The sequence below is a fragment of the Homo sapiens genome, chromosome 1 (assembly GCF_000001405.40).
Source record: "Homo sapiens chromosome 1, GRCh38.p14 Primary Assembly".
NCBI classification, from domain to species: Eukaryota; Metazoa; Chordata; class Mammalia; order Primates; family Hominidae; genus Homo; species Homo sapiens.
This window is the reverse complement of record NC_000001.11, coordinates 248,099,131-248,112,456: the sequence shown is the minus strand read 5'-3', so window position 1 is coordinate 248,112,456 and position 13,326 is coordinate 248,099,131. Positions and strand designations below refer to the sequence as shown.

The 13,326-nt window shown below is 37.2% G+C and overlaps 1 protein-coding gene across 4 annotated transcripts in view; it reads right to left on the bottom strand.

The window, feature by feature from the left end:
* Positions 1 to 11,293: 11,293 nt before the first annotated feature.
* OR2L13 (olfactory receptor family 2 subfamily L member 13) overlaps positions 11,294 to 13,326 on the bottom strand; it is a 163,987-nt gene continuing 161,954 nt past the window's right edge. For all 4 annotated transcript variants that reach the window (NM_175911.5, NM_001304535.3, NM_001395936.1 and 1 more), the window contains one exon: positions 11,294 to 13,099. In NM_175911.5, the coding sequence (NP_787107.1) occupies positions 12,143 to 13,081 (939 nt within the window). In that variant the 5' untranslated portion in view covers positions 13,082 to 13,099 and the 3' untranslated portion in view covers positions 11,294 to 12,142. The remainder of the gene's footprint in view (positions 13,100 to 13,326) is intronic.

Below are 13,326 nucleotides of genomic sequence, written 5' to 3'. Positions count from 1 at the left end.
CTATTGCCATATATTAAGTACTTATAACTATGCAAAAATTAACTAAAACATAGACATAAGAAAAAGGCATATCTCAGTTATGCTAAAAATCTGAAATCTGGAGTTGCAATCCAAGCACGTATATTTTTCGAAATGCCCTTGAATATTCCTGACATAAGAATTCAGCAGGACTTGTTTCACAAGATACAAGTAACATAGACTGCACTGATAAAACAGGATGTGGTAAATAAGCTGGCCACAACCTTCTAAAACCAACATGGCAATAAAAGCAACCTCCGGTGGTCCTCAATGCTCATTATAATTAGAATACATTAGCATACCAAAGGAAACTCTCACCAGCCCCATGACAGTTTAAAAAGGCCATGACAATGTCCAGAAGTTACCCTATATCATCTGAAACGGTGAAGACCCCTCAGTTCCTAGAAGTCCCCACACCATCCCAGAATACTCACGAATAATTCACTCCCTGTTTAGCATATAATCAAAAAATAATAACCACATCTATGTGATAAACTCATGCTGCTACTCTGCCTGTGGGGTAGCCACCCTTTTATTCCTTTATTTTTCAATAAACTTGATTTCACTTTACTCTGCTGGCTTGCTCTTGAATTCTTTCCTCCATGAAGGCAAGGAACCATGTGGCCTCCCGAGCTGAGCTCCAATTTTGGGGTTTGCCCTGTGATATTCTGACTAGAATATTTGCAAGTCCAAAATTATCTATTTCTTTATATATATAATATATAAAATAGATATATTATCCATATTTATTACTTTGTCACCCCCGCGACGTTTCTTACCTTGATCTGTGCACAGAGTTACATGGTCACCATGGTGTGTAAAGATACTTTATGCCCGCATTGCTGAGAGTCCGGGATTATTCATCACACTGAGTGAGTCCCGATCCCTTACCCTGAGGCCATTACAACAAGACAGTGGGACGCATCTTTTCATGAGAGGGGATCAGAAACCCTTTCCCAGAGGAGAATAGGAATCCAAGACGAGCCCCCAAATTGTTGGAAAGAAGAGCTCAGAGGTGCAAAGAAAATGAGCACTCAAATAAAGGATTTCTCAGCAAGGCAAATTTACTTCTGCAGAAGGGTACTGCTTGCTCTTCTGGTCACTATAAGAGCACACAGAAAAAAGGAGGGACGGGGTTTTTATTCCTAATGCAGTCAGTCCCTGCTACTGTGTCCAGTCCCCATTGGCTGCAGTCAGACAGCACAATCTAAGCTGATCCCAATTGGCTACTTCCTATGGAGCAGGGGGCGGAGCTACAGCAGCGGGAAGGGCAGTTTCAGAACTAAGGGTGCAAAATAAGGAACAGATGTGGGTTGTTACAGATTGGGAATAGATACGGGTTAAAGATTGGGAATGGAAGTGGATTACAGATTGGGAATGGCTAGAATGTTGTTTACCGTAACTAGGGTCAAGCAGGCAAGGAAGTTAGGCTTTGAAAATAGAGGACAAAGAAAGGGAGTTGAACAAGCGGAACCTTTGAAGAGGAACTCACTGTATCCAACATGGTTCATTGCAGCTTCAACCTCCCAAGCTCAGCTGATCCTCTAATCTCCGCCTCCTGAGTAGTTGGGACTATGGGCGTGTGCCACCATGCGTGGCTATTCTTTTTTTTGTTTGTTTTTTAGAGACCATTTTATATGGCTTGGCTTTCTGTCCCCACCCAAATCTCATCTCAAATTGTAATCCCCAGGTGTTGAGGGAGAGATCTAACGGGAAGTAATTGGATCATAGGGCAGTTTCCCCCATGTTGCTCTCATGATAGTGAGTTCTCATGAGGTCTGTTGGTTTTATAATGGTCTCTTTCCCCTTCACCCTCTCTCTCCTGCTGCTTCGTAAAGAAGGTGCTTGCTTCCCCTTCTCCTTCTGTTGGCATAAGGAACTGTGAGTCAATTAAATCTTCTTCCTTTATAAATTACCCAGTCTCAGGAAAGTTCTTTATAGCAGTGTGAGAAGAGACATACCATGTCTTGCCAGGTTTCCCAGGCTGGTCTCAGACTCCTGGACCCAAGTGATCCACCCACCTTTGCCTCCCAAATTGCTGGGATAACAGATGTGACGCATGGTGCTCTGCCTAAATCTTTGCTTCATGTACATAAATATATGTGTGTCTTGACTCTGATTATCTCTTTTCAGCTTAATTATTAGAAAAGCTCTTGCTTATGTTTTTCCCTTCTCAGCAACCTGGAAGTCACCATATGTGTTTCCCAATGTCAGAAACCCTGATGATTATAGCTATTAGCCAAATGGGCTATATGCCCATTCATTAGTTAATTACTTAGATCAGAATGATGTGATTCATTAACAGTTTTATTAAGTTTGTACTATTTGCCAGATGCAAGCACTGATGAAATAAGCTATGAATAAATGTTATGGTAAAAATAGACAATAAAGTGGATTAACAAATACTGTGATTTGGAGAGATAAATGTGCCTTGTGGAAAATTAATGCAGTTAAGAAAGTTATAGAATAAGAGTTTGAGGAGTGATTGCTTCTTTAAGTAGTTAGCCTAAGAATATCTCTTCAAAAAGGTGACAATAAAACAAAAATCTTAGCAAACAGAATGTGTGAGATATGGCTGTGAAAATCAATAATTCTTCAGGGAGCTAGAACACTCTTTGCTAAACCTTATGTGAGGAATAATTATGCTGAATGGGCCCATTTCTATGTGCTTTGAATGAGTGGACATCTCATTCAGAGAATAATGGCCACTTCGGCCCAAGACCTATTATAAAAGTCTGACATGTATGTTATAATGTATTGTAAAAACCCACACACTTGTGAACACTTGATTTTTGACAAAGGTGCCAAAAACACAATGGAAAAAGAACACTGTCTTCAACAAATGTTGTTGGGAAAATTATATATCCATGTGCAGAAATATAGAATTGGATCCTTATTTCATACCATATACAAAAATCAACTCAATATGGATTTAAAACTTGAGTGTAAGACCTGAAACTGTAAAACCTCTAGAAGAAAACATACATAGGGGAGCTGCTCCACAGCATTGGTTTGGACAACGATTTCTTGCATATGGCACCTAAAGCACAGGTGACAAAGCAAAAAAAGAAAAAAAAGAATTGTTTCAAACTAAAAAGCTTCACATAGCAAAGACACAATATAGTGAAGAGACATCCCACAGGTTGGGAGAAAATGCAAACTACACTTTTTTAGGGGTTTATTATCCAAAATATATAAGAAACTCAAACAACTCAAAAGCAAGTAAACAAATAACCCAATCAAAAAATAGGCAAAGTACTTAAATAGACACTTCTCAAAAGAAGACATACAAATGACCATCAGATATATGAGAAAATGCTTCTCATCACTGATCATCAGGAAAACATAAAACCACAATGAGATATTGTCTCACAATTGTAATAATGGGTATTATCAAAAACATACAATATAACAAGTGTTGATGAAGGGGTGGAGTAAAAAAGACCCTTGTGCACTCTTGGTTGTGAAGTAAGCTAAACCATATGGCAATTCCTCAGAAAATTGGAAACAGTAGTACCATACAATCTCTATAACCAAAGGAATCGAAATCAGTACGTTGAAGAGATATCTGCATTCCTATATTCATTGCAGTGTTATTTACATTAGTTAAGAAATAAAGGAACAAAATTAAGGCAGAAATATATACATTCTTTGAAGTCAATGAGAACAAAGACACAATGTACCAGAATCTCTGGGATATAGCTGAAGCAGTGTTTAGAGGGAAATTTATAGCACTAAGTGCCCACATCAGAAACTGAGAAACATCTAAAATTCACACACTAACATCACAATTAAAAGAACTAGAGAAGCAAGTGCAAACAAATTCAAAATCTAGCAGAAGACAGGAAATAACTAAGATCAGAGCAGAACTGAAGGAGATGGAGACATGAAAAACCCTTCAAAAATCAATAAACACAGAAGCCGTTTTTTTGAGGAGATTAACAAAATAGAGCACTAGCCGGACTAATACAGAAGAAAAGAGAGAAGAATCAAACAGACACAATAAAAAATGATAAAGGGGATATCACCTCTGATCCCACAGAAATACAAATTGCCATCAGAGAATACTATAAATACCTCTATGCAAATAAACTAGAAAACCTAGAAGAAATGGATAAATTCCTGGACACATACACCCTCCCAAGACTAAACCAGGAAGAAGATGAGTTTCTGAATACACCAACAACAAGTCCTGATTGAGGCAGTAATTAATAGCCTACCAACCAAATAATAATAATAATAATAAAGCCCAGGACCAGACGGATTCAAAACCGAATTCTACCAGAGGTACAAAGAGGATCTGGTACCATTCCTTCTGAAACTAACCCAAACAATAGAAAAAGAGGGACTCATTCCTAACTCATTTTATGGGGTCAGCATCATCCTGATACCAAAACCTGGCAGAGACACAACAACAAAAAAAATTTTCATGCCAATATCCCTGATAAATCTCAATGTGAAAATTCACAGTAAAATACTGGCAAATCAAATCCAGCAGCACATCAAAAAGCGTATCCAACACAATCAAGTCGGCTTCATCCTGAGATGCAAGACTGGTTCAACATACAACAATCATTAATCATAATCTATCATATAAACAGAACCAGTGACAAAAACCAGATAATTATCTCAATGGATGCAGAAAGTTCAACACCCCTTCATGCTAAAAACATTCAATAAGCTAGGTATTGTTGCAACATTTCTCAAAATAATAAGAGCTATTTATGACAAATCCATGGCCAATATCATACTGAATGGGCAAATGCTGGAAGTATTCCCTTTGAAAACAGGCACAAGAAAAGGATGCCCTCTCTCACCACTCCTATTCAACATAGTCTTGAAGGTTCTGGTCAGGGCAATTAGGCAAGAGAAAGGAAGAAAGCGTATTCAAATAGGAAGAGAGGAAGTCAAACTGTCTCTGTTTGAAAATGACATGATTGTATATTTAGAAAACCCCATCATCTCACCCAAAAACTCCTTAGGGTGATAATCAACTTCAGCAAAGTTTCAGGATACAAAGTCAATGTGCAAAAATCACAAGCATTCCTATACACCAATAATAGACAAACAGAGCCAAATCATGAGTGAACTGCCATTCACAATTGCTACAAAGAGAATAAAGTACCTAGGAATCCAACTTACAAGGAATGTGAAGGACCTCTTCAAGGAGAACTACAAACCACTGTTCAAGGAATAAGAGAGAACACAAACAAATGGAAAAACATTCCATGTTCATAGATAGGAAGAATCAATATCATGAAAATGGCCATACTGCTCAAAGCAATGTATAGATTCAATGCTATTCCCATTAAGCTACCTTTGACTTTCTTCATAGAATTAGAAAAAAACTACTTTAAATTTCACATGGCACCAAAAAAGAGCCCGTATAGCCAAGACAATCCCAATCAAAAAGAACAAAGCTGGAGCATCATGCTACCTGACTTCAAACTATACAACAAGGCTACAGTAACTGAAACAGCATGGTGCTGGTACCAAAACAGATATATAGACCAATGGAACAGAACAGAGGCCTCAGAAACAACACCACATATCTACAACCATCTGATCTTTTACAAACCAGACAAAACAAGCAATGGGGAAAGGATTCTCTATTTAATAAATGGTGTTGGGAAAACAGTCTAGCCATATGCAGAAAACTGAAACTGGACCCCTTCCCTACTCTTTACAAAAAAATTAACCCAAGATGAATTAATGAGTGAAATATAAGACCCAAAACCATAAAAACCCTAGAAGAAAACGTAGGCAATACCATTCAGGACATAGGCATTGGCAAGGCTTCATGACTAAAACACCAAAAGCAATAACAACAAAAGCCAAAATTGACAAATGGGATCTAACTAAACTAAAGAGTTTCTGCACAGCAAAAGACACTGACATCAGAGTGAACAGACAACCTACAGAATGGGAGGAAAGTTTTGCAATCTATCCACCTGACAAAGGGCTAATATCCAGAATCTACAATGAACTTAAACAAATTTACAAGAAAAAAAAAGAGCCCATCAAAAAGTGGGCAAAGGATATGCACAGACACTTCTCAAAATAAGACATTTATGCAGCCAAAAAACATATAAAAAAAAGCTCATCATCATTGGTCACTAGAGAAATGCAAATCAAAACCACAAGGAGCTACCATCTCACACCAGTTAGAATGGCAATCATTAAGAAGTCAGGAAACAACAGATGCTGGAGATGATATGGAGAAATAGAAACACTTTTTCACTGTTGGTGGGAATTTAAATTAATTCAGCCATTGTGGAAGACAGTGTGGTGATTCCTCATGGATTTAGAACCAGAAATACCATTTGATCCGGCAATCCCATTCCTGGATATACACCCAAAGGATTATAAATCATTCTGTTATAAAGACACATGCACACGTATGCTTATTGCAGCACTATTTACAATAGGAAAGACTTGGAACCAACCCAAATGCCCATCAGTGATAGACTGTGTTGGGGAAAAGCTGAGTGTTGGGAAAAAAGCTGAGGCAGGGCTTGCATGTCTGACATAGTGTAAAAGAGTCTTGGAACATGTCCGGGGTCCGGGGTCTAAAACCCCTCATGGCCTTTGGTACACCAAACTCTGTGCCAAAGGGTGGAAGGCTGGCCTGCTGCACCACAATCTAAGCCCAGGGCATAAAACCCCTCATGGCTTGGATGGAATCCATAGCTCAGGGCATAAAACCCCTCGTGGCCTCTGGAATGTGTCTAGACTTACTGGCTCCTTGCTTCTAGCATTCCCAGGTTCAGAGATCAATTGTATCTGCAACGAGAAGAACATTTTTCCCATTATCTCAAGTAGCAGAACATGTTCCATATGCTGCAAAGAAAATGCTAAACCGTCACAGTTGTAGATCATGCACTTGATACACCACTTTCTTTCAACCCCCACATCCTCACCACCTGCTTCTTTGTTTGATCACCTATAAATAGTGCGGGCTTTCAGAGCCTGGGTCTTCACAGCCTTCAAACTAGCGTTGGCCCCGTGGTCCCACTTTATGTGCTCTTAACTTGTCTTGTCTCATTCCTTTGACTCCTCCGGACTTCATAGCCCCCACAGCCTGGTGTTGGGTCTGATCGCCCCAACAGACTGGATAAAGAACATGTGGCACATATATATCATGGAATACTATGCAACCATTAAAAAGAATGAGTTAATGTCTTTTTCAGGGACATGGATGAAGCTGAAAGACATTATCCTCAGCAAAGTAACACTGGAATAGAAAACCAAACACCACATGTTCTCACTCAAGTGGGAGTTGAACAATGTGAACACATGGACCCAGGGAGGGGAACATCATACACCAGCATCTGCCAGGGAGTGGTGGCAAGGGGAGGGATAGTATTAGGAGAAGTACCTAATACATGCGAGGCTTAAAACCTGGACAATGGGTTAATGGGTGCAGCAAACCACCATGGCACATGTATACATATGTAACAAACCTGCAGGTTCTGCACATGTATCCCAGAACTTAAAATAGAAAAAAAAAAACGAAAGGGGAATTTGGACAAAACAAATTTATAAAGGAACGTAGGTATCCATCTTCAGATTAATGGATAAAGAAAATGTAGTATGTATTCACAATGGGATGCTATTCAGCCCTCAAAAATGGGGGAATATTTTCATTTTTGACAGCATGGATCAACCCGAACAGCATAACACTAAGTCAGTAAGCTAGGCTCAAAAAAGACAAATACTAAGTGATCTCACCTACATGTGGAATCTAGAAAAGTTCAACTCATAGAAGTAGAGAGTAGAATGATGGTTACCAGAGGTATGGGGATAAGAATGGGTGGGAAAAGGATGTTGATCAAAGCATAGAAAGTTTTAGTTAGACAGGAGGAATAATTATTACTGATCTATTGTACAGAACGAAGCCTATAATAAATAATAGTGTGTTATATATTGCACAATTGCTTAAAGTTGATTTTAAAAGTTTTCACCATGCAAGAAAATAAGTATATGAAGTGTTGGGTTTGTTAATTAGCCTGATTTAATCATTTTACATTATCAACATATCTAAAACATCATATTGTATTCCATGAACACATACAATATTATTTGTTAATTCAAAATAAAATTAAAAAGATTTCTTGTGATAGGTTTTGGTCTGGGAGAAGTAGCAGAATATAATTTTTCAACTTCATTTTTCTGTCTTGGGCTAGGATCTTTCAGTTGAAAGAAATCAAAACCTCAATGTCATTGGACACTTCATGAAGATGTGTCAAGATAAGATCCCATTCCTGTTTCCCTCTGTGATTATGTCACTGATCTGTTCTTGGAATTGGAAGAGGAATCAAGAAAGAACAATAACATAAAAGTGTAGTATTTGGCCTCATGACAGGAACAGCTTATTTTATTTATTCACTTTAAAATGTTATTCATACATATTTGTGGAGTACAATGTGGTGTTTTGATGCTTGTATACACTATGTAATGCTCAAACCAGGATGATTAGCATATTCATCACCTTAAACATTCATCATTTCTTTGTGATGATAACATTCAAAAACCTCTCTTCTAGCTATTTTGAAATATGTAATACATTAACTCTAGTTATCCTCCTATGCCATAGAAAAATATGCCAAGAGAACAATGAGAGATGTAAATAATAATGGGTCTTTAGAGCCACCTAAGGTTTAATATCTCTCCAAGAATCAAACTAAACCTTGAAATAAAACAAATGACTCCTTTAAAAGCTCAGAGTTTCTCTTTGGAAGTATTGGCTGTTATATGGCCCATTTTGCCACGTGTTCAGATATTTTCCCAGAGTTCACACCAACCGACTCGCCAAGCAGCTCTGGATGTTAGTATTTGAGAAAATATTTCCCTGCAAGGCTTCTGCTACATTTAGAATAAAGTCCAGATTATTTGCCTTCACCTGGCCCTGAGAAGGCTCTGATCTATTCTCCTACTCCTCTCTGCTCACTGCCTTCTGCTGCGCTCCTGTCTCAGTCATTGGAGGGCTTTGTGGGTTTTATCCTTCAGGTTTACATGGCCAGCCCCTTCATCATGTCAGAGGGGCCTGATGACTCCATGTGATAAATCATTTGCTACTTTTCTGCCTGAATTCATCACTGCCCAGCCTGACCAGATAGTGTGTACTAATGTTTTTATGGCTCACACCAGCATGGGGGCTCCACAGGGTAAAAGACTATACCTGCTTGTCCATCATTTTACCTGATGTAACAAGAACCATATCACATAGGAAGGGTTTGATACATCCCTTAAATTAATTAATAATTAATTTATTTATTATTTAATTAAATTAATTAATAATTAATTTATTTATTATTTAATTAAATTATTAATAATTATTTTATTTATTATTTAATTAAATTATTAATAATTATTTTATTTATTATTTAATTAAATTAATTAAAATTAAATTAGTTTTAATTAATTAATACATACCTTAAATTAATTAATAAGGTATGCATTGAACCCTTCCTATATGATATGGTTCTTGTTAATTAAGGTGAATGAACTTCAGCAGCCTTCCAATTACTTTTGCTTGGAGAAATTTTTCCAAATGCCTTGTCTTGCAGAAAATCTGGAGGCTATTTTTTTTAGCTTGCTGTTTTCCTTTCACAACTGTGGTTTGTTGTTTTTGTACAAAGATTGATCAATGTGTTTAATTTCTGCAGAATATACTAGGACATATTATACTTTATACTAAATAAGGATTTACTGCATTGGTGATTGTTTAACATCAAAGTAACGGTAGAATCTCCAAAAAAAATCAAAACCAAACCACAAAAATTAATTTTAGTGGTCATACTCAGAGCAGAAAAAATTATACATTTTTTTTAATTCAAGGAGAAAACCCTGATACTAGTGGAAAAAATGAGTGAGATACATCGCAGACTGAGGAATCTGCCTCCCGGAATGAGCGACAACCCATTTGAAGAAGTAAAAGGAAATTCTAAGTAATGATCTGTTAACTACTATCTGCTTATATTTTCCCCTGGATCTGTAATGTGGCATGAACACTAGTTCCTTAAACTTGCATTGCATACCAATAAACATAAATAAATTACCACAAAAAAATGTCCCCATCATTGCATGCCATAGCACTCCATTCTGTGGGGACCTCCAGGCCAAAATGATGAGGGTCTTGTTCAGAGACTGGGTGACATGAATCAAAGCCTGATTCAAAGAAAACTGGCTTCTAAGTTGTGTTCTTCCCTTCCCAGCTCTCTGACCTAAGACATTTTTCTTGTTTGTTTGTTTTGCCTCACCAAGCCTCAAAGTGCTCACTCAACATGGAATAAATATCGGAATCATAGTGTTGTAGTGCAGGTTAAGTTATGTATGTGGGAAAAGCATTTACAATTAGTAAATATTTGTTAGCCTTATAATCCTAATTATTATAATTTTTAAAATATTCTATGAGCTTCAATTTAAAATAAGACAGACATAGATGTGAATAAGTGTTAATAAAATGTGATCATAAGCAGGAGTAGAAGTGTGGGGGAAAGAGATATCAGCTGTGCACAAGAAGAGATGGGATGTCAATTTTGAGTTATGTTTACTGATTATGTGGGATTCAGATTGATAGTCATAAGCTATGTAAATCAGAACTTTCCAGAAGTGAGACATGGTCTGTGATAAGGTTCAGATGGGCAAGGAAATAGAGGGCTATGGAGAAAGGCAGGAGGTCTAGAGTGACTGTGGTACTGAGTGTAAGTGATAGAAACAGGTAAAGGGAGACATAATGCATGCTTTAAAAGCATGGGGATATAAGTTTCATGTTCCAAAATTTAGATAATCCAACAGGAATCATAGATTATAGAATGACAAGATCAAATGTATGTTTAGGGAAATAACTCAAATGGCAATGAGTACACTATATTCTCAGTAAGAACTGGACTCAAGAGATGAAAACACTTAAGGCAGTAAGAAACTAGAAAAAGATATTGGGAGCTTGAATTTGGGCAGTAAATAAAAGGGATATATTAATACAAGTCTCAATTTTTTTTCCACAAAAATCAGAACCCCTCTATAACTCCAACTATTGATAGACTTGAAGTCACTTAAGTGAATTAGTAAAACAACCATAGTAAAACTTTTGTTAAACACAACTTTCCATATAGCAACATAGGATTTCATCCTGTGCAAAGTCATATACATATTTTACACATCAAAGCTGAAGCCTGAGGTCCCAGTTTCCGTTTTATATTTTGCATGCTGTCTCTACCCTGTCACTGTCTCTGTGCCTTTATATAAATAATTTCTTTAAGTACAACTTTGATAAAGTTATTTATATAAAGATTTTATTAATTTTTATGTATACATAAATGTGGGTTCTTTTATATTCATATTCAAGTTATTTTATCTCAGTATCTTTATGAAATCAGCAAAATCATAAGTCAGATAAGCTCTCCCTGAATAGTTTTATTAAAGGAGTTAGGATAAACTGGACTTCAAATGTTAATTACAATAAATGTGCATATGCTAAAAATGAGCCAACAGATAAAGAAACACATAAACACTACCTTAGCATGTGCATTTTACTTGTTAATTTTCAGTTCATCAGCAATATTGTATATAACAAAAATATGTTTGTATACACCATACATGCACATACACATGCATATATAACTTCTGAAACTATTGATTGGGGATGCTCTAAGAATGTGCTGTCCAACACTATAGACACTGACTACTGGGCACTTGAAATGTGTTTTGTCCAAGCTGCGCTGCACTCTATAAAACAAACACAAGACTTTGAAGACTTAGAATGCAAACAGAGTAAAAGGCAACATTAACAAATTTGTGTTATTACATGAAGAAATTCTATGTCAATATACAAGAATAAACATTATCACGTTAATAGTAATATATGTACAAACATGTACTATAATATATTGCATATAATTTATTGAAATAGTATGCTATGTAATTAACATCAATATTGTTAATATTAATATTAATTATAACATTGTTTTGAATTAAATATATTATTTAAATTTATTTGACTGCTTAAATGTACCTATTAGAAAATTTTAAATTATGTTGTATTTCTATTGGACAACCCTGCTCTAGCGTGTTGGAATCAACTTGGAAAGAGGAAATACAAAGGGAGTGGGGATGGCCATGATTATTCTTTCAGGAAAGAGAATATCCCAAACACTCTCCTCATAGCCCCCAGGACTTCCTTATTCCTCAGGCTGTAGATAATGGGATTGAGCATGGGGGTAAGGATGGTGTAGAAGACTGCCAGGATCTTGTCTTCAGCTGGTGAGCGGAGATTCCTGGGCCGAAGATAGGTGTAGACAAAAGGTGCATAGTAAAAGATCACTACAGTTAAATGTGTTGAAATGGTGGTGAAGGCCTTTTTTCTCCCCTCCTTTGAGTGCATATGATAGACAGCAAATAGGACTCGGCCACAGGAAGAAGTGATGCCAATGAAAGGGAAAAGGAGAAAGAGGCTTGTACTTACAAAAACCATATATTCATAGACCCAAGTATCTGTACAGGCAAGAAGCAACATGGCTGGGACATCGCAGAAGAAATGGTCAATAGCCCTAGACCTGCAGTAGGGAATATGAAGGGCAAAGACTGTGTGTGCCAAGGAGTTGATGGACCCCAGTGTCCAAGAGCCTCCAATCATCTTCACACACATCATTTTACTCATGCGGATAGGATAATAGAGAGAGTGGCAGATGGCCAAATAACGGTCGTAGGCCATGGAGGTCAGGAGTAAGCCTTCAGAACACGCCATGGTCAGGAAGAAGAAGCTTTGCACACCACATCCCAGGAAGGAGATGCCTTTCTGGCCGGACAGGAAGTTGTACGCCATCTTGGGGACGGTGGTGGAGATGTACATCAGGTCCATAAGGGAGAGCTGGCTGAGAAGAAAGTACATCGGTGTGTGGAGACGAGGATCCACGTGGATGAGGTGAATCATGGCCGAGTTACCCACCGAGGCCAGAAAGAATATGAGGATGATAAGGCACAAGAGAAATATTCCAGTTTGATTTGGGGGAAGCAGACCCAACAAAATGAAATCATTTGAAGTGTGATTCCATTTCTCCATGAAAACTTTCTGCTGTAACTGTTGAAAGAGAAATAGAAACAAAAGCAAAGCACAAAACATGAAATAAAACACAATAGAAAAACAAAAAGGAACTGACTTTATCAATGTTTGTTTAGAATGAGTTGTTTCTCCACTAACACTGCAGGTTTTTTTTAATCAATTTCTATATCTGAAGCATATGGAGATTAGAGAGGATATTCACTTTCTGTTCTTATAGTTTGATTTTCATTACTGTAGATGACAGC